This window comes from Homo sapiens, chromosome 10 (genome assembly GCF_000001405.40).
Source record: "Homo sapiens chromosome 10, GRCh38.p14 Primary Assembly".
NCBI lineage: Eukaryota > Metazoa > Chordata > Mammalia > Primates > Hominidae > Homo > Homo sapiens.
Window position 1 is genome coordinate 63,177,154 of NC_000010.11, and position 23,895 is coordinate 63,201,048.

Here is a 23,895-nt window from a genome sequence, read left to right on the forward strand (position 1 = left end):
AAAAAGTACCTGAGCAAAGGGTTTCAACCAATTATTTCAGGTTGATATATAAATTTCTTTCAGAGTATATGCCAACTACAGTCAAGGTATGATTACTCAAAATCTGAGTCTACTCAGTAAGTATCATAGTATCAGATGTGATAGAGTAGAATCATTCCCTAGGTCAGCAGCCAAAAATATCTATCAGATTCAAAGAAAATAAAGATCCTACCTTCTTTAGACGTTTCCATGAAATATTTGTTTTTACATCCCGCGACTCCAGATAGCTACTTTTCGCCACCCAACTAATATCTGGCTCAAGAACAGATCAGTCTTTTATTAACAGGGAATGGAGGCACACTACCAACTGGGAACAAATCACCATTCAAAACCCTCAAAATGTTAACAGACTTTCAAAGAGGAGCAAGAGAAACAGGGTTTTGACTTTCAACAAAAACTCCCATCTACTTTGAAGTAAAAATTATGTAATGGTCTTATATTGTTGAATGCCAAGTGAAGGTACGGCAACAATGAATAAGTCCTTGCTTGAGGGGAAGAGATATTATTTGCAAACTAACTTATACCTTTTGAAGAAATTCCCTTATCTTGTCAACATCTTTCCCAGCATAAATATGCCACAGAGCACCAGGTATTTCACTTGAGTCCTTCAATCTTTTCCTTAAAATGTCATCCAAATCTTCTTCCTCAAATTTCTTGAGAATTCCTGAAACAAAGGAACATAATTTCAAATTGTCGGCAAAGAATACCAGAAAGCCAAGTCTCCTAAAGTTGATCTATCAGAGCAGCAGAGTGCCTGACTAGGATCAGTACTTTTTCTTTTTTGGTCACCCAGGCTGGAGTGCAGTGGCATGATCTTGGCTCACTGCAGCTTCCGCCTCCCAGGTTCAAGCAATTCTCTTGCCTCAGCCTCTCAAGTAGCTGGGACTACAGGTGCAAGCTGTCACACCCGACTAATTGTTTGTATTTTAGTAGCCGTGGGGTTTCACCATGTTGCCCAGGCTGGTCTTGAACTCCTGAGCTCAGGCAATCCACCTGCTTGGGCCTCCCAAAGTGCTAGGATTACAGGCATGAGACACTGTCCCTGGCCAGATCAGTACTCTTAAAAAAGAGTCAAACACAGTTATATGTTCATAACTTTTAGGACTACAAGAATAGATAAGTGGATACAAAGCAATAGTGATTTTCCCAGTTTGTTTTATGCAAACCAAGAAGCAGGAGATAGAAAACCTAAGAGCAACTATGTAAAATTTAACCACCTTCCTTCCCTGTTCCAAGGGGGTGGTCCTAACAATGACTTGTACTCATAGCATTTCCTAACTTACAAAGGTCTTTTATGCTCACTATTTATTAGTTGGCCCCTATACTTACTTAAGAATAAGGGATAACCTCTATTTTATACCTGAGTAAAAAGGTTCCATGAGGTGAAAGGTTTTACTCATTACCATGACTAATGAACGGCAGGACAAAATGTATTCTGATTAATTTCGAGGTGCTCTCATATTTGATAATGGTTAATCTGTAATCAAATGCAAATGTTTCACGAACAAAGTTGTGGTTTTGAGGAAAATCAAGCCATCCTTCTAAAATGTTGACAAACTAAAATTCCTACACGTATGTATGTACAGAAAAAAACTTTAGAAGTGTACAAACAAAAATAGTAACTAGTTGTCTCTAAGTGTAGGACCACAGGAAGGTCCTTTTTTAAAAGGACCAGTGAACATTTAAATAAATATTCTTTTTAAAAATTTTGTATAAATTTAAGGGGTACAACTGCAATTTTTGTTACATGGATATATTGCCTAGCGGTGATGTCTTGGCTTTTAGTTATCATCACCTGAATAATGTACATTGTATCTACTAAATAATTTCTCATTACCCACCCCTGTTAACCACCATCCTCTGAATCTCCAATGTCTATCAGGATAAGGAATCAACTTAAGTGTCCATCCACGGATGACTGGATAAAGAAAATGTGTGGCCGGGCGTGGGATTACACCTGTAATCCCAGCACTTTGGGAGGCCGAGGCAGGCGGATCACCTGAGGTCAGGAGTTCGAGACTAGCCTGACCAACATGAAGAAACCCCATCTCTACTAAAAATACAAAATTAGCTGGGTGTGGTGGCACATGCCTGTAATCCCAGCTACTAGGGAGGCTGAGGAAGGAGAATCGCTTGAACCCAGGAGGTGGAGGTTACGGTGAGCCAAGATCACGCCATTGCACTCCAGCCTGGGCAACAAGAGCAAAACTCCATCTCAAAAAAAAAAAGAAAAAAGAAAAAAAGAAAATGTGATATACATACACAATGGAATACTATTTAGCCATAAAAATGAAATCACTGCTGGGTAGGTGGCTCACATCTGTAACTCCAGCACTTTGGGAGGTTGAGGTGAGTGGATCACTTGAGCCCAGGAGTTTGAGACCAGCCTGAGTAACATGGTAAAACCCGTCTTTACAAAAAAATAAAAAAGTTAGCCAGGCATGGTGGCGCCTGTCTGTAGTCCCAGCTACTCTGGTGGCTGAGGTGGGAGGATCTTTTGAGTCCAGGAGGTTGAAGCTGCAGTGAGCTGAGTCTGTACCACTGCACTCCAGCCTGGGCAACAGAGCAAGGAGACCCTATCTTTAAAAAAGAAAAAAAAAAAAAAATCATGTCTTTTGCAGCAACATGGATGGAACTAGAAGCCATTATCTTGAGCAAAAAAACTCAGAAAGTCAAATATGTTATCACTTGTATAAACTTTTTAAAGAAAGCTGTTACCTGCTACAAAGTATATATCAGATGTTTCCTAATTTGTGACAGTAATGTCTATTTTATATTCAAACTTAGCTGCAAACATATTTTTTTCTTTTTTTCTTTTATTTTTCGAGACACAGTCTCACTCTGTCGCCCAGGCTGAAGTGCTGGGGCACAGTGGCACAATCTCGGCTCACTGCAACCTCTGCCTCCCAGGTTCAAGCGATTCTCCTGTCTCAGCTTCCCAAGTAGCTGGGACTACAGGCACCCGCCACCATGCCCAGCTAATTTTTCTATTTTTTAACTACAGATGGGGTTTCACTATATGTTGGCCAGGCTGGTCTCGAACTCCTGACATCAGGTGATCCACCACCTTGGCCTCCCAAAGTGCTGGGATTACAGGCGTGAGCCACTGCTAATTGAAACATTTGGTAAGTGTTTACTATGTGCGAGGCACTGTCCTAGGAAGTTGGGAATTAGAATTAAGAAAGATCCATTCAAGAGCTCATGGAGTTAAAGAGGGTCCTAATAAATCTAGACAAATAAACATCACATTGTGGTAAGTGCAATCACATCAGTACAAAGGGTACAGAGACAGGTTAAGTCCTCCAATGTTATCTGTGACAAAGTCTTTTCCCAGTCATGGTAAAACAAAAAAATTAAGGGCAATGTAAAAAGTTGAACATAAAAAAATCATCCTTTACTCTGGTATCTTTTTGTTTGTTTGTTTGTTTGAGATGGAGTTTTGCTGTGTCACCCAGGATGGAGTAGAGTGGCACCATCTTGGCTTACTGCAACTTCTGCCTCCCAGGTTCAAGCAATTCTCCTGCCTCAGCCTCCCAAGTAGCTAGGATTACAGGCATACACCACCATGCACAGCTAATTTTTTTTTTTTTTTTTGAGACGGAGTCTCGCTCTGTCGCCCAGGCTGGAGTGCAGTGGCGGGATCTCGGCTCACTGCAAGCTCCGCCTCCCGGGTTCACGCCATTCTCCTGCCTCAGCCTCCCAAGTAGCTGGGACTACAGGCGCCCGCCACTACGCCCGGCTAATTTTTTGTATTTTTAGTAGAGACGGGGTTTCACCGTTTTAGCTGGGATGGTCTCGATCTCCTGACCTCGTGATCCGCCCGCCTCGGCCTCCCAAATAATTTTTGTATTTTTAATAGAGACTGGGTTTCACTACGTTGGCTAGCTGGTCTCAAACTCCTGACTTCAAGTGATCCACCCACCTCAGCCTCCCAAAGTGTTGGGATTACAGGCATGAGCCACCGTGCCTGGCTTATCTTTCTTATAGAGAGTTTGAAATGTTCTCTTTAAAAAATGACAGTTGATGTTTCTAAAATCTGTTTTCTTAACAAAATTAAAAGCTGGAAACTTTAAATTGGTTTTCTGACATTTTTCCTTTAAATTTTACTGCTCTGCAAATTAAAATAACAAGTACATGAGGCGGGGGAGGCATCATAATAAAGAGAATGACTGGCTAGAGCATAGTAAGTTTACTTTCTTTAATGAAGACTTCTAGGGTGAATGATAATCTGAGTTACAATTGAAAGAATGAATACAGAAGTTTGCCAGGAAGACATGGAGCTAAAAGACACATGGCAGATGGAGAAAAAAATCATGATCTTTTAAGTATTTTTCAATGTGTTTGAAACATTATTATAACCCTAAAATGTTGCTTTGTGACCACCTATAAAAAGTGACAAAAACTTTTTAGATAAAGAAAGAGAGCAAAAGGATTATTTAAAATGTTGAAATTCTCCTGAAATTTTCTCGAAAGAAATATGCTAGGAACAGAAGCTGGGGGATATGCATAAACAAAGATGAGGAAGAAAGTTCTAGCTTTTAAGGACATGAATGAATAGTAATGGAGGAAAGCAGGTTAACTTCTAAGTGCTACAGGGAAAGATCTGAACAAACTACAATGAGATACAAAGGATGTAACTCCATGGCATCACAGGATTAGAAAGGATAAATAATCTGAACTACAGGTCACATTTCTGTGGCAGCGCTCAGACAATAACTCAAGTGTGCCCACTGACTCTCAAATCTCTGGGGGATAGGGGTGGTTACCTATTATAGTCAATAGTGTCAGTTAAAAAGCTGAGTAGCATAATGTAAAAATGAGTTTCTACAGTTTTGAGGGATTTTAGGTTGTGTATTATAAAATTGTCAAATGTACACAAAAGTAGAGTGAATACTATAATGAATCCCATGTCCCCAGCACCTAGCCATTAAGCTCCAATCTGGGATCCAGATATACAACTGGTGATCTATTTCATGGCTGGATGTCATCCACAGAATTTCACAGAAAGTGCATGTGAAGTAGAAAAGGTAGCGAACATCTGAAACTCCGAAGAAGCCTCCAACTCCATAAGGTGTCAGAATCAGAAGTGGTATCACAGAAGCAGAGAACTATATTCAAAGAGGTTGTGATTAACGGTGCCATTCATTATAGACAGGGGTGAGTAATAAACGAACCAGAAAGATACACTGAATTATCCAAATACGTGTGAGTGACAGCAGTAGCAATAGTAAATTTCAGACCAGTATGGAATAAGACTGCAATGAGCTGAAATGTAAAAGGAAAGTGACAAAGATGGTAAAATATTTCTTATGAGGGTAGAACCAATAGGATGGAAAGGTTTAAAGGAGGCTTTCTTTCGAGAAAGAAAAAATCATCTTAGACTCTGCTTCTATTGTACAGAGAAAAAGCCAATGGAGAAGAAAACGTTAAAGGCCTATGACTGTATCTATGTCTTTGTAAAGAAGGGAATAACTGACACCATGGTTTCAGAAAGAAATTGAGGGCACAGAAATGAAAACCTATATACTGGATAGAAAGAGAAAAGACCCCCTTCTTCCTCTTTTTACTGGAGGGGAAAAAAGAATGTTTGAGTCACAAACCATATTTTAACCATCTTTAGAACCCTAAGAATTAGTTCCTATTCTTCAATAAATTTTTTTTGTTTGTTCATTTTTTGGTTTTTTTTGAGATGGAGTTTTGCTCTTGTTGCCCAGGCTGGAGTGCAATGGCACTATCTTGGCTCACCGCAACCTCCGCCTCCTGGGTTCAAGCGATTCTCCTGCCTCAGCCTCCTGAGCAGCTGAGATTACAGGCATGCACCACCACACCCAGCTAATTTTGTATTTTTAGTAGAGACAGGGTTATAGCATGTTGGTCAGGCTGGTCTTGAACTCCTGACCTCCAGTGATTCACCTGCCTTGGCCTCCCAAAGTACTGAGATTACAGGTGTGAGCCACTGCGCCCAGCCTCAATAAATGTTTACAAGTGCGCTTAATGGTGTATTTTCATCAACACAATACTTAATGATAGAAAAGAAGTTAAAATATTCAATTTTAAAATTAAAATTTCACTTACATAAAAAGAAATAGGAAAATTATTCAATCTTCAAGTAATAAGGGCTAAAATGCCCCTACATCCATTGCAATTCTTTTTGAAATCTTCGCTGTTAACTCAGAAGCTGATATTCTGGACAATACTAGTGAATGTGATTATTCAACTCTTATTTCAAAGACTACTTATTCTTTTAAGTTTACCTGCTTTTGAGAGAATGCCATTTCCTTTTGCTATGCCAACATAAACTAGTATATTTACAACATCAGAAACTTCAATATGGAGATTTGTTGTTCCTATATCATGATCTTTAGCAGCAACTACACCTGTATATAAAACAAAATTTTACTTGACAAAATATTTATATATATGTAATAGCATAATCAGATATTCCCCCAAATTAGCTCGATCTGCATAATTTAATTGTAATTTGAGTTTTAGTTTCCTTATTACAAAAACCTGTTCCAAAAGCCACAATCTATAAAAGACCCTATTATTTGAATAATTACATTTCTATAATAAAATGTACTATGATTAAAAATCAAATAAATAAAAAATCAATAAGCAGGTACTTAACTATATATTGGCTGTTAATTCCTAACATGTTGCTTCATATAAAAAAGGGTTTCGATGGATTAAAGGAACAGATTTAGTAGAAACTAAAAATCATTAGACAATTTGTAGGAACAGTAATTCTTTTTTTGAGAAGGAGTCTCGCTCTGTTGCCAGGCTGGAGTGCAGTGGCATGATCTCGACTCACTGCAACCTCCACCTCCCGGGTTCAAGCAATTCTCCTGCCTCAGCCTCCTGATAGCTGGGACTACAGGTACACGCTACCACACCCAGCTAATTTTTCTATTTTTAGTAGAGATGGGGTTTCACCATGTCAGCCAGGGTGGTCTCAATCTCTTAACCTCATGATCCACCCACCCACCTTGACCTCCCAAAGTGCTGGGATTACAGGCATGGGCCACCACGCCCATCCTTGAACAGAAATTTTTTTTTTTTTTTTTTTGAGACGGAGTCTTGCTCTGTTGCCCAGGCTGGAGTGCAGTAGTGCAATCTCAGCTCACTGCAACCTCCACGCCTCCTGGGTTCAAGTAATTCTCCTGCCTCAGCCTCCTGAGTAGCTGGGACTATAGGCGCACGCCACCACACCTGGCTAATTTTTGTATTTTTTAGTAGAGACAGGGTTTCACCATGTTGACCAGGATGGTCTCAATCTCCTGACCTCGTGATTCACCCGCCTTAGCCTCCCAAAGAGTGCTGGGATTGCAGGCGTGAGCCACTATGCCCGGCCTGAGCAAAAATTTTAAAAAATCCAATATAATTCCTACATGGGAGAAATGTGAATATATACCTACCATAGGCACTGCACAACCTGGGTCCTAGATCAGGACGTACAAAAAATCCTGGCAAATGAGAGGCCAAATTGAATTTTCCTTCTGGATTACAATATTCTGGCAATGGCAGACTTTTTAAAAGATCTTCGTATCTGAAGAAAAACAACATTGCCTTCTTATAAATAAAGATTTGCATTGCTAAGTATTTTCACATATATAATTTTCAAGTTGTTCAAAACAGCAGACTACCTTTCCATAAGACAGGTAACAATTTTCCTTGACTCAAGTGATACTGACTAAAATAGCAATTCTGCTTCTCTAACCATTAAACCATTAAAAAGCTCCAATAGAAGGGAGGTCCTAAACAGGGTCCTGTGTTCTCTTTTTTTGAGACAAAGTTTCACTCTTGTTGCCCGCCTCAGCCTCCCAAAGTGCTGGTATCACAGGCGTGAGCCACCGTGCCCAGCCTCTTTAACATGAACATTCTTTCCTTCACTGTCCTAACATAAAGATTTTCCCACTGCTGAGGCTACCAACTCAGTTTTGCTATCAATCAATCCATCAGACAAGGTCTCACTCTGTCACCCAGGCTGGAGTTCAGTGGCACGATCTCAGCTCACTGCAGCCTCCACTTCCTCCACTCCAGTGATCCTCTCACCTCAGCCACGCAAGTAGCTGGGACTACAGATGCCTGCCACCATGCTTGGCTAATTTTTGTATTTTTTTGTAGAGATAAGGTTTTGTCATGTTGGCCAGACTGATCTCCAAGTCTTGGACTCCAGCGATCCCCTCGCCTTGGCCTCCCAAAGTGCTGGGATTATAGGCGTGAGCCACTATGACGCTCAGCCTCAAGTTATTTATTTTTAATTGAGAAAGAAAAAGCCTACAGGTCACATTTACGGTTACTTATCCTATCTCTGGGGACAGTCTTAGCTCGATCTCAAAAAGTCAAGAGTCAAAATGAAAAGTTTCAAACCTTGCTGGCATCATAGTCTTGAAGTCTTCTCCTGAAGGCCAGTCTTTCAATTTTAAAACAACTGTTTCTCCACTCTTGTTTTTCTGCCGTTCTATAAGGAATGCAGTTAATTACTAAAAGGGTAATTTCTGCCTTTTTATCTTTATTAACATTTGGAAAGAAACGTAAATGAATGAATGATTTGATTGTTGCACATTACATGCTTAATGATTGCTTGCTTATTGACTTATTACTTATGTACTTATGTAGTATTAAAACCTTTGTTCCTTTTGTACATGAATAGAATTCATTAAATTACCCACTTGTAATATCTCAAAAGTTGTTTTTAAAAATCTTGGTAACATCACAATCTTACATCTACACTTTTAATTTTCAAAGAGTTTTACATAAATAATTCCATTTTCAAAAGCTTATGGAACTGCCAAACATTTCTCCATAAGCAAAACAGTATAAACGGCATCTTTAAGGTCAAAGGAAATTAGTGCTAGAAATAGGGATTAGGACCCAGTATTTTGTTTCCAATTACTTGTTTCTTTTTATTAGACAACATAAAACAGATGTTTCAAAGACTAAAAATCTGTTAAGTTACATTTGGAATTTATCATTTTGAAGGAGTATGATGGAGAAAATAGTAAAATAAAAACCAACATACTTGAAACTTCTTCAAAACCATCCCAGAATTCCTTAACATTGGCATTTGAAATGATGCTATCTTTGCAGTTCAGGAGATCAGCTTGGTGGTCTCCAAAATCAAGACTAATTGATTCCGCCTTCCATAGGCTAATGTTCATTTTCTTATGCACACCAGAAACCACTGCAGGCTTATAAATAGATAAATAAATAACAGTTAAAAGATATATAGACTTTCTTTTTTGTTTGTTTGTTTGTTTGTTTGAGACAGAGTCTTGCTCTCTTACCCAGGCTGGAGAGCAGTGGCCTCATCATACCTGACTGTCACCCTTTGGGCTCAATCAATCCTTCTACCTCAGCCTCTTCAGTAGCTGAAACTATTAAATTTCGAGCCTAATGAGTTATTCTCTGAAAGTGAATGTCTCCTTTGAAATTACATAAATTCAAATTCCCTCACAGCTTTCTTACACTTGGTGGCGGAGGGTAGATGTCCTCTCCACCCAAATTCCCTAATAGCTTTCTAATAACGCAGAAACCAGTAATGGAAGATTTACAGCTTCTAAAACTACAATAAATGATATAAAAACATATCTAAGAACATCTGATGTATTATTCTCAGGTTTTAAACAAATTCCTGTACTCTAATGAAGCAGAATTCTGGAATATAGAGAACACAGTAAGCTATGACTTAAAAGTTTCTGAAAAATGATATTTACTAGGCTGGGTGTAGCAATGCATTCTTGTAGTCCCAGCTCCCAAGGCTGAGCTGGGAGGATTGCTTGAGCCCGAGTTTGTATCTTGCCTAGGAGACACAGCAAAACCCTGTCTCCAGAAACAAACAAACAAAAAATTTAAGTGATTATTAGTATTCTTAAACTTGTAACATAATTAAAATATAGGAACCACAAAAGAATAATCTCTAGCTAGATTTTTTTTTTAATTACAAAAGACATCTTTAAAAAGAAAAAACACCCTAAATTCTGGTTTACTACATGGTTGAATGTTCCATTAAACATTTTTTCAATGAGCCAATAATATATACGACTTTAAAAATAGGTCCAGGTATTAGTTAACTCTTGCTGGCAATTCACAGATTAATTCCTAGTGCCTAGTATCTATCCAATAATATTGCTGCTATTAGGGTAATCAGCAGCTTGTTAAAAGTAAATTTTTTAAAAAAGATAAGGGTTAAGCTAATTAGTGTATCAGAATAATTCAAAGCAGAAATCTTAGGCTATCACCATGATCTTTTTACTTTTTTTGGAGACAGGGTTTCACTTTGTTGCCCAGGCTGAAGTGCAGTGGCATGATCATGGCTCACCACAGCCTGGACTTACTGGGCTAAAGCAATCTTCCTGCCTCAGCCTCCCAAGTAGCTGGGACTACTGGTGTGAACCACCACGTCTGGCTAATTAAAATTTTTTGGTAGAAACAGGGTCTCACTATGTTGCCCAGGCTGGTCTCCAACTCCTGGGCTGAAGCGATCAATCGTCCCACCTTGGCCTCCCAAAATGTTGGGATTATAGGCAAGAGCCACAGCACCAGGCCTGTAAAGCTTTCTGATTAGACTCCTTGCCAATGGTATTATTCTCTTCTAACTCAACTTCTAATCTGCCTTGCTGTCAGTTATTATAAAATGTCAATTTGATTATACAGATTCCACAATTAAAACTATCACCTAGAGTATAATGTTAAAACTCCTTAGCATGATATATAAGGGCATTTCATGATCATTCCTCTAGCCATCTCCTTACACCACTCTCCCCCATGAACCATCATGTATATTGCAGATAATCACACCTACTCAGAGAGTTCCCAAAACACCTAATGTTCTTGTATATGTCCAGCCTCTTGTCCACCTAGCAAAAAACTTCACTTAACCTCTAAGGAATCAATTTAGACTAGCCTTTTTGAACTAGTATCCTAGCTTTGACATTTCCTTTTCTGGGTTCTCATAGCACCTTGAACAAAGTTCTTAAAACACTTCACATAATTATGAAAACAATTATTTGTGTGACGCTTTTCTACCTCAAAAGCTCACACAAATTAAATAAAATTTCAGTCCAGTAATGTCATCAGGGCTTGAAGGAGACCAAGGCAAAAAAGACATGCTAAATCTTGTGTATATGCAATGCACAAGTGTGCATTTCTTTTTTTGGGGTGAAAGATTCAGCTTTCATCAGATTTTGAAAGGGATTAGTAACCTAAAAAGATCAAGCAGCATTGCACTAAAATGGTTCTTACTCATTTTTACATAGCTTACTCATTTTTATATATTCTTACTGCCTATGACAGAGACTGCGTCTCTTATTAGATGCTCAATAACTGTTGAATAAACAAAGTAAACATTTTCCAGAAAACAATAAATTTAACAGAATACTGTCATACAAACACTTAATTTGTTCATAATTTTTGCATTAATGTAGTAAATTGCCATCTGAAATGTATATCAAACATTATCAAAACTTTTGTCCAACAAAATCATTTATATTAGAGGAGAATGAAACAATATAGTTTGTCATTCAAGATTTGATGAACTAATTTGTAAGTAAATGTTCTGTGTATAAATATTACAGATAAGAACATCTACATAGGTTCATGAAAAATGCTGCCAATATTAATATTTTAATAGTAGACATGGATCTACTAACTGGACTAAAATACCAATCTAAAAAGAGGAGAAAGGAACTGCATTTTGTAAATTCAAGGCGTTATTACATGTCTGTTCTGATAGATCAAAAAGTAACATAAAATAATCAACGTTTCCCTATTAATTCATATTAAATCTGGCCAAAAAACAGGAATTGAGAAACAAGCATTCTGACAATCTTTTCGGTACTTTTATATCTTATTGTCCCCCAAATGTGTTAACCACTATTTTTCCCCCCTCCATTTCTATTCCTAAGGAGGGAACCATTCTATTTAATAAGCTTCAGTTCCACCAAGAGTGTTCTTTATCAGCCTAAAATACACACCTGTCCTTGTTTCCAACATTCTTTGAAAAGCTTCCAATTACTGCTATTCTTATAATCCTTAAGCCATAAAATATGCTTCTCACAGATCCAAGAATGTGGTATATCACTGTATAATTTATTATTTTCATCCACTGCAGATATTATGCTTTCTTCAGGCTCTTCTTTAAGCTCTGGTTTTACATTTATCTTGGAGGTTTTACTTGGTGGAATTTTGTTTTCAACAACTGAAGCAATTATGTCATCAAGAATGTTAGGCATAGTCCGTCCACTTTTGCTACTCTATTAAGGAAAAAACAAAACAAAAAAAACCTGTTTTTGAGAGAAATCAAATACATTTTCCTCCCACAGACTTATTTTTTTTTAAACAATATCCCTACACTCCACAATATGCACTTCTCTTAGATTTGAGTTCCTATATTCCTGACAAAATGCAAACCAGAAGTCTGGTTGTGTGAGAACTGCCAGGTCTGAAAAACTTAGAAGTACAGCCTTCCTGTCTTTTACATTGTTATAGGCCTGGGACAGAGAATACAAGTAGGTGGCATCCCTCATATACATTTTTTAAAATTTTTAAATATTTTATAAGAAATAGAGATGAGGGTCTTGCTATGTTGCTCAGGCTGGTTTCAAACTCCTGGGCTCAAGCAATCCTCCCACCTCAGCCTCCCAAAGTGCTAGGATTACAGGCATGATTGACCCCCCAATACTCCATATATATATACACATTTTTTTTTTTTTTTGAGATGGGAGTCTCACTCTGTTGCCCAGGCTAGAGTGCAGTGGTGTGATCTCAGCTCACTACAAGCTCCGCCTCCCAGATTCAAGTGATTTTCCTGTCTCAGACTCCCAAATAGTTGAGATTACAAGCATGCATCACCATGCACCATGCCTGGCTAATTTTTGTATTTTCAGTAGAGACAGGGTTTCACCATGTTGTTGGCCAGGCTGGTCCCGAACCCCTGACCTCAGGTGGTCTGCCCACGTCAGCCTCCCAAAGTGCTAGGATTACAGGCGTAAGCCACCACACCCAGCCCCCATATACTTTTATTTTTTTTGAGATGGAGTCTCGCTCTGTCGCCCAGGCTGGAGTGTAGTGGCGTGATCTCGGCTCATTGCAACCTCCGCCTCCTGGGTTTAAGCAATTCTCTGCCTCAGCCTCCCAAGTAGCTGGGATTACAGACACGTGCCACCACACCTGGCTAACTTTTGTATTTTTAGTAGAGACAAGGTTTCACCATCTTGGCCAGGCTGGTCTTGAACTCCTGACCTCGTGATCCAGCCGCCTCAGTCTCCGAAAGTGCTGGGATTACAGGTGTGAGCCGCCGCACCCGGCCCCCCATATAGTTTTAAAAGAAATTATACTGCTCTTTTTTCCTGGTAAATAATTAAAGCAAAATTTGACTTCTAATTATTTTAAGTAACATACAACATTCACTTCCATGTGGGTTTTTCCCTTCACTAGACAAATAGTTTCCAAATTCTAAAGGGGTATCTTAGGGACCTTCTGGAATCGAAGAGCACCCCCCCTCCACCTTTCACCTTGGAAAAAAAGACAGAAAATGCCAGCTTTCAAGGTAAAGAGAGTTATAATGCAAATAGAAACATGCCTAGCAATTTGGTACACTTGATTTCATCAGCATACTGGGTAGTTCAGAGCCAAAAACTAAGTCTCCAAATCATCTCTATTTAAGGCCCACATTAAAACCAAAAATCTGGCATCACTCACTGGGGCTCCCATTGAATATACTGGGGCAAAGGCAATGCCAGCATCTGTAGACCCCACACGTAGCTTTCCAGCTGTTGTAGTCAGCAAATCCCGTAAGGTTGAGCCTTGTTCATTATTCTGGGACACAAGAGGTGATGTTCTGCCATTTGGAGATTCAGAGTTGTCTTGTTCTCTTTCTTCTTTAATTTGGTTTTCAAGGGTAAGTTCTTTGTTTTCTGAAATAGAAAATTTCACAGATTTTGTTTTGTTTTGTTTTGAGACGGAGTCTCATTCTGTCGCCCAGGCTGGAGTGCAGTGGCGTGACCTCGGCTCACTGCAACCTCTGCCTCCCAGGTTCAAGTGGTTCTCCTGTCTCAGCTTCCCAAGTAGCTGGGACTACAGGCATGTGCCACCAGGCCCAGCTAATTTTTCTGTATTTTTAGTAGAGACGGGGTTTCATCATGTTGGTCAGGCTGGTCTTGAACTCCTGACCTCAAATGATCTGCCCACCTTGGCCTCCCAAACTGCTGGGATTACAGGCGTGAGCCATTGTGCGCAGCCCTTACAAATTTTAATTCTATTAAGCATGGTGCTAAAGTACAGACAAAACTGGCCCCAGCATTTTCTACTGTGAGATAAAAACTGAAGGAAGCATTGTGATTTATTCACCTAAACACAAACCTGAGGATGAGTGAGGTTTGAGACCAGCTTGGCCAAATGGATTCAAACAATCTAAATATAAAAAGGCCTTCCTCAATATTTAAGACATGTTTACACCTGTTACAAATGAAAAACACTACAGCAAAGACAGGTAGAAAATACAGGTAAGTGGCCGGGCGCGGTGGCTCATACCTGTAATCCCAGCACTTTGAGAGGCTGAGGCAGGCGGATCACTTGAGGTCAGGAGTTCAAGACCAACCTGGCCAACATGCTGAAACCCTGTCTCTACTAAAAATATAAAAATCAGCTGGGCATTGTGGCACGTGCCTGTACTCCCCGCTACTTGGGAGGCTGAGGCACAAGAATCGCTGGAACCTGAAGTCAGAGGTTGCAGTGAGCCGAGATCATGCCATTGCACTCCAGCCTGGACAACAGAGTGAGACTCTGTCTCAAAAAAAAAAAAAAAAAAAAAAAAAACACAAAAAACAAAACAAAAAAGAAGACATAGGTAAGTTACACTTCTAGTGCTCTGGTGGCTATATCAATATGCTCATCCACAAACAATTCTGTAACTAACTTTGATATGTAGTCAAAGGAAGGCTAAGGCTGGGTATGGTGGCTCATGTCTGTAATCCCAGTACTCTGGGAAGACGAGGTAGACTGCTTGAGCCCAGGAGTTCAAGAACAATCTGGGCAACATGGCGAAACTTCATGTCTACAAAAACTAAAAAAAAAAAAAAAAAAAAAAAAAAATTGGCCAGGCATGGTGGTTCACACCTGTAATCCCAACACTTTGGGAAGCCTAGGCAGATGGATTACCCGAAGTCAGGAGTTTGAGACCAGCCTGGTCAACATGGTGACGCCCTGTCTCTACTAAAAATATACACTAGCTGGGCATGGTGATGCATGCCTTTAGTCCCATCTACTTGGGAGGCTGAGGCAGGACAATCACTTAAACCTGGGAGGCAGAGATTGCAGTGAGCCAAGATCGTGCCATTGCACTCTAGACTGGGCAACAAGAGCAAAACTCCGTGCTCCCCGACCCCTAAAAAGAAAATTAGGCATGGTGGTACATGTCTGTAGTATCAGCTATTTGGGAGGCTGAACTGGGAGGATCGCCTGGGCCTGAGAGGTCAAGGCTGCAGTGAGCAACGATTGTGCCACTGCACTCCAGCCTGGGTGATAGTCTCAAAAAAACAAAAACAAAAACAACAAAAAAACAACAGGCTAGTTCCTAATAAGTGAAGACAAAATGTTTTACATTGAACCTAACCCATAATTCAAGAAAAAGACCAAAGTAAATTGTTTACCTCAATATTAACAGTACTTTATTGTACAATAGTACATTGTTGGTTAGTTATACTATACTCCTCTCACACATGCCTAGATAATCAATTATGTTTACCTTTTTTTTCCTCTCTGGCTTTTTGCTCTGCAAGATCTGCTAACCAGTGCAGTGGTGACTGGGATTCTGGAGGAGTTAACTTGTTATCTGTGCCTACATCACTCTCTGGGCTGCTGCCACCATTTTTCTCAGACTTCGGAGGAGTATTTTGCTGCTGAGACTCAGGCATGCACAGAGAAATTTTATTACTGTGATTAAGAACATTCTGTAAAACCTACAAAGGTAGAACAATTACATTTTTAAACACTTTCTTCAATAATTCAATTAGTAGTATAGATACAAAAAATTTACACAGAAACACAGCAAACCTAATTCATACATAAGTCCTAAACCAAATTTCAAATAAATATCAAAGTTGACTAATTTAACCACAGATTTTATTTGAATAACCAGAGATTTTTACTCACTTGAGATACACCATTCATTGTAGGAAAATTTCCAACTTGTAAATTCTGTTTGTTAGTACAATGACAATGGGATTTAATACCATATTTTTCCCTAAGAGTGTGCATGGCATCTAGAAGATCTGTCAAAACTACAAAATAAAATGGTAGTTAATAAAAAGATTACCACTAGTTGTTAATGCTGTAAAATTTTTTTCTTACAATATTTTGTATTATAATTGGGAATAACGGAGGTTTTCTTGTGCCCTTTAAATTTCTTCCATTTTTCTCCATTCTCTTCCATCTATTACAGTTTTGATTATTCAACCAAATTTATGTTTTTTTTGTTTTTTTGTTTTTTTTTGAGACGGAGTCTTGCTCTGTCACCCAGGCTGGAGTGCAGTGGCGCCATCTGGGCTCACTGCAAGCTCCGCCCCCCAGGTTCATGCCATTCTCCTGCCTCAGCCTCCCAAGTAGCTGGGACTACAGGCACCTGCCACCACGCCCGGCTAATTTTTTGTATTTTTAGTAGAAACGGGGTTTCACTGTGTTAGCCAGGATGGTCTCGATCTCCTGACCTCGTGATCCGCCGGCCTTGGCCTCCCAAAATGCTGGGATTACAGGCGTGAGCCACTGCGCCCAGCCAAATTTATGTTCTCTATTCTTTTCTCTCTTTATTAAAAATTAGATATGCTCAAAAATTATAAGAAGCTTTCATTAAAAATCCAATAGGCCTTTTCATTACACTCCAGCTTTCCACTTCTAATGGTGAACTTTCTTCATCACTGAGGCTTGGACTTATCTTCTGAGCTTTATTACATAGAGGATTTCCAATAACTGAGCAAGACAATTCAAAACTAGTTAAATCTCTCTCCACCCTGTTATATTTCTAGATACTCCTTTAAGTGTTTCCTTAATCTGGAGCAACCAAGAGCAGTTATATTACATGAAGAAGATATACTTACCAGAACCAGGTATAATTTGGGTTGGCATTAAATGTTTGTGATCATGAGGCTGTCCCTTCACACACTTCATCCAAGCATATAGTTCTTTATCTGTAAGATAATAAAACTTGTATATCACACTCATGGTTTCATAATTATAAATTGATAGTGTAAAGAACTTAACGATTATATAAAATGTTTCATAGTTGGCTAGAGTCACAGCCAAAGAGAAAAAGAAAAAAATAAAAATAATGAAATAAAATGTCAATGATATGCTTTAGATGTTTGGTTCTGAAACAAGTCAGGAAAAACAGTTCCACCATTTCCTGATTTTATAAAAACACTGACACAAAATGGATATAATGATAGCCTTTCTAAAAATTACCAGTCATTATTATTAGTGACCTCTATCTTTGTAGCTAATCTTCTATCTCTTAGCTGTTTTCTGTGCCAAACAGAATTTATGCCTGATCCTAGTACATCAGACTGACACAGTTTGAGATGACTGTTAATTCATTTTCCTCTTATGCTTCAAAGACATGTAGAGAAACATGAGACATGTGAAAAAGCTGGTACCATACAGTTACTATTAACTGCTATTGCTGACTTCAAATAAGGTTTCATCCCTGAAGTTGTAAAGAATTAAGGCATAGCATAGGGCATAACATAAAGAATAAAAGCATTTGATACCTTGATCTCAAGAACCTTCTCTACAAATTTAGTGACACAGACAGCTACTTACGACGTGGCTACAAGAGTTTCAGTGTCACAAAGTTCAATAAATTCAGCATAAAAAAATCTAGAACTAGACCAGGCACAGTGGCTCACACCTGTAATCCCAGCATTTTGGGAGGCCAAGGCAGCGGATCACTTGAGGTCAGGACTTCAAGACCAGCCTGGCCAACATGGTGAAACCCCATTTTTACTAAAAATAAAAATTTAGCCAGGTGTGGTGACACATGCCTGTAGTCCCAGCTACTTGGGAGGCTGAGGCAGGAGAATCACTTGAACTCCAGGAGGTGCAGGTTGCAGCAAGCCGAGATCGCGCCATTGCACTCCAGCCTGGGTGATAGAGCAAGACACCATCTCAAAAAAAAAAAAAAAAATCTAGAACTATTGTTTCATAAAAATATACATTAAATAAAATTCAAACCCAGTCTAAAACTAGTTACCTTTAAAAGCTTTGACTTTCCTCTGCAAAACCTACACGGTAACTTGCAAATATTTCATATATTGCTTATATTTTAGACACTTATGTGGATTACCACTCCATGAAGCTATATATTAAACCTACTCAATCTGAGTTTTATTATAATATTTAACAGTAAAATAGATATATAGATAGTATGGACAATAACCCAAGGCATAAGTTACACTTAAAAGAATGATACAGTGGCCAGGCATGGTGGCTCACGCTTGTAATCCCAGCACTTTGGGAGGCTGAGGTGGGCCGATCACGAGGTCAGGAGATCGAGACCACGGTGAAAACCCGTCCCTACTAAAAATACAAAAAAATTAGCTGGGCTTGGTGGCAGGCGCCTGTAGTCCCAGCTACTCGGAGAGACTAGGCAGGAGAATGGTGTGAACCCAGGAGATGGAGGTTGCAGTGAGCCGAGATTGCGCCACTGCACTCCAGCCTGGGCAACAGAGTGAGACTCTGTCTCAAAAAAAGAAAAAAGAATGATACGGTAACAAGACTATACTTTCAAAATTAATACTACTATGAAAATCAGCAGGCTGGGCGTGGTGGCTCATGCCTGTAATCCCAGCATTTTGGGAGGCTGAGGTCAGGAGTTTGAGACCAGCCTGGCCAACTTGGTAAAACCGTGTCTCTGCTAAAAATACAAAATTAGGCATGGTGGCACATGCCTGTAATCCCAGCTACTCGGGAGGCTGAGGCAGGAGAATTACTTGAATCCAGGAGGCCAAGATTGCGCCACTGCACTCCAGCCTGGGCAACAAGAGTGAAACTCCGTCTCAACAACAACATCCAAAAAAAAAAGAAAAAGAAAAAGAGAAAGAAAATCATCAACAATACAACAATTTACTTTTAATATAAATATTCTTTATCTTATTCAAAAAAAGCATTTATGGTAGCTTACATCAAATTTTATAACAATTGAAAATATCAAAATACATGTATTGTGGTTTCACATTTTACTCATATTAACATATTTATTGCATATCCCAGAAACACTTAGCTGTAGATGTTCAGCTATGCTTCCACATTTGCTCAGGTTTCTTTGGTAAGAAAGGGTAAGAGACTTTGGTTAATCCTATCAGTAGAAGATACTGATGGTTAAATCATGGTTCATCTACCTGATACACTACTCTGAAAAAAGAGCGGCCTGAAATGAAAATGACACTCATTACTTTGAGACAGACAATCTATACTAAGTACTTCTAATGTTTCCACAATATTAATCCTCTTATTTCATCAGAACTCTACTCCTAACAAAAAATTCAATACCAGCTTTAGGTAGTCACTTCCAAAATTGCCTTGGATAATCTTTCTAAAACACTTTTGATTCATTTAATTACTTCCTTTCTGAGACAGGGTATCACTGTGTCACCCAGGCTGGAGTGCAATGGGGCAATCACAGTTCACTGCAGCCTCCATCTCCTGGGTTCAGGTGATCCTCCCACCTCAGCCTCCCAGGTAATTGGGACTACAGGAACACACCACCATGCGCAGCTCATTTTTTGTATTTTTTTTTTGTAGAGATGGGGGTTTTGCCATGTTGCCCAGGCTGGTCTTGAACACCTGGGTTCAAGCAATCTTTGGAAGCCAGCCTTGGCCTCCCAAAGTGCTGAGATTACAGGCATGAGCCACAGTGCCCGGCCCACACACTGGAATCTTAAAGCAACAAGGCCTAACCTAAATTTGGGCTACATTAAGGAACTATCTGACTGAAATGAGAAGATGGATATACTCATGAGGCTGATGGGTGTAGATGCAATTTAATTCTAGAAAATATAGCCGTTAATAAACTGTGGTTACTTCTCCTCTTAAAAACAAACTGAAAAAAAATACTTAATACATTAATAAGGAAAGTAGGAATAAAAAAACACATCTCATGTTCTAGAAGAGTGATCCTAAAGAAAAATTATAAAAAACTTCAATTTATATAAACTTATACACCAACCTCTAGAACTCTTCCTTTCCTTTGCCTTGTAACAATCTAAGCAGACCACAAATCCACATTTTTGGCAGACCCAGTGAATGTTAAACAATGTTGCTTCACATGCATCACACATCTCCCGGACTCCTCTCACTGCTCTTTTCCAGGCAATTTTGGCTGAAATACAGAAAAAACAAAAATTTTAAAGGCAAACATGCTCTTTTCCAAGGCAATTTTGGCTGAAATACAGAAGAAATAAAAATGTAAAGGCAAACCAAGAACTTTCAAGGCTATATTAACTGAAGACCAATAGCTTTCTTGAAGTAATTTGTAATTCTCTTTAGAAGACCCATAAATGATCATTAAGTGAAAAATAAAAATGCCGTACATCTAAGCAGGGTTTCTCAACTCTGGTACTTTTGACATTTTAGGTTGAATAATTCTTTGTTGGGAGGGATTACTCTGTGCATTGCAGACTGTTCAGAGGCATCTGTAGCCTCTACCTATCAGATGTTGGCAACATATCCTTAACTCCCTCAGTTATGCAACCAAAGATGTCTCCAGTCATTGCTAAGTGTCCCCTGAGGGGCAAACCAGTGATTTCAAGGAAGGGAAGGAAAAGAAGCTAATATTTAGAGCATCTACTATGTTAGGAACTATTAAGTACTTAAGTAAACATAATTAACATAACTACTTTCTAAACAAATTAATGAGATAGTTATCTTTCCTATTTTCCAGACCTGCCTGATATCCAGAGAGGTTATTTGCCAAAGGTAACAGTTAGGGAGTAAAGCTGAGATTCCAATACAAATAATTGGGGTAGATTATGTCTTTATAAGCCAAATGCTGAAATTTCACAATTTCTAAAGTGGGTTTAACACATTAACTTAATGTTGTAATGGCAGAAACAGCAAAATGCTATTGTGATTTCACAAATGGTTAATTGACTCAATTCACCCTCTATAGGAAAGTATCTGTAACCTTAAATACATACTGTAAAAAGGTATCATTATCATAATTAAAAATCAAGGTTAGATAAGATTAGGGACTTCTTTCACAAACATAATTCAAAGAGAAATTCTTAAAATGAAATTTGTGCAGTTCATGTTATATTTAACTTCCTTACCATCCTTTTTCACCCAGGACAAAGCTGTTTTTTCAGATGTTACTAATTGACAGAACTTATCACCTATTATATCCAAGATATATTTAGAAGTCTCTATATCTAGTTCATCATCTTCAAAATTTTCATGTGTCCACAAACTCATAGCTTCATCATCATATTGGTCAGGAGAAGAGAAACCATCTATTCTAACTACTCCGTTTTTACTAAATGACAACCTGAAATATTAAAACATAAAAGTATTAGGTACCCACATATTAAAACATAAGTCCAGTCTTTAAAATTGTAAATTTATAATTATGTTTACATTGCATTATAAAATATGAATTACATTAAAAACAGGAAAACAGGTTAATTCTTCACACACTAATTATTGAATTAATTTAAATAACTCAGGTGTTATGCAAATGGCAATAAGTAGTAGTAATTTTAGGTTATTTCAAGAAATAAGATCACTTATACTTACTTAACTCCAATAAAATGAAAACTGTTTAAGTGTTTGATGAATGACAAGAGTAAAAATGTGGGCCCAATGTTGCCCAGAGCAATGCTGTTATTTTATACATAATCTAAATCGGAATCACCAAAGCTGAAATGGCCTTAAGACTTTCACCAGGAGGACTTTAAAAATGCCAACTATACATATATTTTCATTAATTAGACTGACACATTGCTGAAGTGATTTAAGAGAACAAGGATGAAAATTCTTAATAGTTTTATAGGAACCCCATTAATGTGCTTACTTGCTCTTAGCTTCTGATATCCAAATAACTACTCTATTCAGAGAAGTTTATGGTAAACGGAAGGCAAAATTGCCATTCTCTTACTGGCTGGTGGTTATTCCTCAATTATATTGTACTTCACTCTCTTTACTCTCAAATAGCTGATGTCTAAGATACAAGTCATACTGTATTTTTCATATGAACAGCAACATTTCTTTTATCCCTACTTTTCATACCTTTATTATTCTTTCCAAAGCTTCCTTCTTTTTAAACCAAATTTCTCCTTTTTGTCATAACCCAGCATCTTATTTTGGTTTTATGTTATAATCTTTGCCTGAACATTTCTTTCCTTCAGACTTTTCCTAGATTTTCTTATGCCTCAAACCTACTTTCCTTTTGATTCCTTTTTTCATCTCTTCTGCACTTCCATGGGTACTACCTCTTATAATTATTCCCTGAAATTGTCTTGTCTTTTAGGGATTGTTGGCTACAAAGTGAGGAAGAAAGAGAACCTGGTTCATTCTTATCAACACGTATTTTTGGAGGTCTATACTGGGCTACCAGCATAGAGTATTCAGCAGAGTAAAGTGTCTCAATTTCTTAGGAAGATAATTACAGCTAACAATAGAGCATTTCATATGCGCATGGGACTACACTTAAGGACTTGGCATACTTATCTCATTTAACCTTCATTAAACCTCTCTTAGGTAGGTACTAACATTTACATTTTGCAGCTGAGACAGGCTTAGTTGTCCTACCACAGTTAATAAACTCACACAGGAACTAAGAGACAGAGATGGAATTCACAACTAGAAATGACTGATTCTGGAGTGTGACATGTTAATTAGTCTTTACTGTCTGGGTTATCCAGCTATTCTTTAGTTGAACTCTTGCAAGTCTACCTTTAAGTTTTTAATTTTAAAATATTATTTGGTAATATTCATATTAAGTTAGTATATAGGTTAACAACTGTTAAGAAAAAAATCATTTTCTCATTAAGAATAAATCTCTCAGAACAGAAAGGTCATATGGAACATGAGTAATAATGTATGTATTTAGTCTTATAGTTAGAAATTGTTAAAATTTAGCACGAAAACATTTAATAACTCTTTTATAATGTTTCCAAAACATGGAGACTCAAAGACTTACTCCCCCATCCAAAAGGGACACTCAGAATAACACTATATAATTTCCAATATCAAATCAATAAATTACTTTTTTCCCAATCTCATATTTTCACTTACCGTCTAAAGTAGTAAAATCTACAAAATACTGGTGAGTGAGCTGGTTCTTCTCCTTTTTTACTGCGAATAAGTCTACATTCTCGACACTTTTGTAAATTAGGCCCTATCTCACAGCAGGAGTCATCCTGTAAAAAGGATTCCCCAGTTTGCTTCAGCTTCTTGACTTTACGCCAATCTTTCAATACTGAACGAGGAATGCCAGCTGTAAAATCAGTAGGAAAGTTTTAGCAAGATTATGCTTTGTAAAAAGTTAAACTCCTTGAGATGAAATTCAAGTCAGTTATACAATTGTGATGATACGGTAAGACTTTAGTAAAGAAGCAAAGACATTAAGAGCTCTAGGTACTGATTAATGACTAAAAAGTGCAGCAGCGTTTCTATTTACTTACTAACCAATTCTATTAACCAAATGAACCACTCTTATGTCAGTGTACTGAAAATGCAGAACTAAATTTTCCAGCTGACTGAACTCTTTAAATATCATTCATGTATGTATAATAGCAAACATAAGAATCATTCATATTCTGTGTATATCAATAACTGAAAATACAGTCCTTCTATACCAAAAGTTGG

At 38.2% G+C, this 23,895-nt stretch overlaps 1 protein-coding gene across 14 annotated transcripts in view, besides 2 other annotated features; it reads right to left on the minus strand.

Annotated features, from left to right (window-relative positions):
• JMJD1C (jumonji domain containing 1C) overlaps positions 1 to 23,895 on the minus strand; it is a 354,666-nt gene that overhangs the window by 9,929 nt on the left and 320,842 nt on the right. For 12 of the 14 annotated variants that reach the window (XM_017015897.2, NM_001322258.2, NM_001318154.2 and 9 more), the window contains 13 exons: positions 23,323 to 23,524; positions 21,360 to 21,574; positions 20,258 to 20,410; positions 17,133 to 17,222; positions 16,192 to 16,319; positions 15,785 to 15,998; positions 13,741 to 13,955; positions 12,015 to 12,293; positions 9,062 to 9,230; positions 8,410 to 8,500; positions 7,455 to 7,585; positions 6,294 to 6,416; positions 564 to 703 (listed from right to left, as the gene is read on the minus strand). In XM_017015897.2, the coding sequence (XP_016871386.1) occupies positions 564 to 703; positions 6,294 to 6,416; positions 7,455 to 7,585; positions 8,410 to 8,500; positions 9,062 to 9,230; positions 12,015 to 12,293; positions 13,741 to 13,955; positions 15,785 to 15,998; positions 16,192 to 16,319; positions 17,133 to 17,222; positions 20,258 to 20,410; positions 21,360 to 21,574; positions 23,323 to 23,524 (2,150 nt within the window). Of the gene's footprint in view, positions 1 to 563; positions 704 to 6,293; positions 6,417 to 7,454; positions 7,586 to 8,409; positions 8,501 to 9,061; positions 9,231 to 12,014; positions 12,294 to 13,740; positions 13,958 to 15,784; positions 15,999 to 16,191; positions 16,320 to 17,132; positions 17,223 to 20,257; positions 20,411 to 21,359; positions 21,575 to 23,322; positions 23,525 to 23,895 lie in introns of those variants that run through there. The other 2 variants (NR_134512.2, XM_047424775.1) reach the window with 2 other exon arrangements.
• Positions 3,504 to 3,700: a silencer, noted in NCBI's record as "fragment chr10:64940417-64940613 (GRCh37/hg19 assembly coordinates)". NCBI's record gives its function as "represses an EF-1alpha promoter that drives an FKBP-Casp9 reporter gene in an ReSE screen in K562 erythroleukemia cells {active_cell/tissue: K562}" and the evidence as "EXISTENCE:reporter gene assay evidence [ECO:0000049][PMID:32094911]".
• Positions 22,451 to 22,987: an enhancer, noted in NCBI's record as "NANOG hESC enhancer chr10:64959364-64959900 (GRCh37/hg19 assembly coordinates)". NCBI's record gives its function as "activates a minimal SCP1, AML or CMV promoter by ChIP-STARR-seq in naive H9 embryonic stem cells {active_cell/tissue: H9 hESC(naive)}" and the evidence as "EXISTENCE:reporter gene assay evidence [ECO:0000049][PMID:30033119]".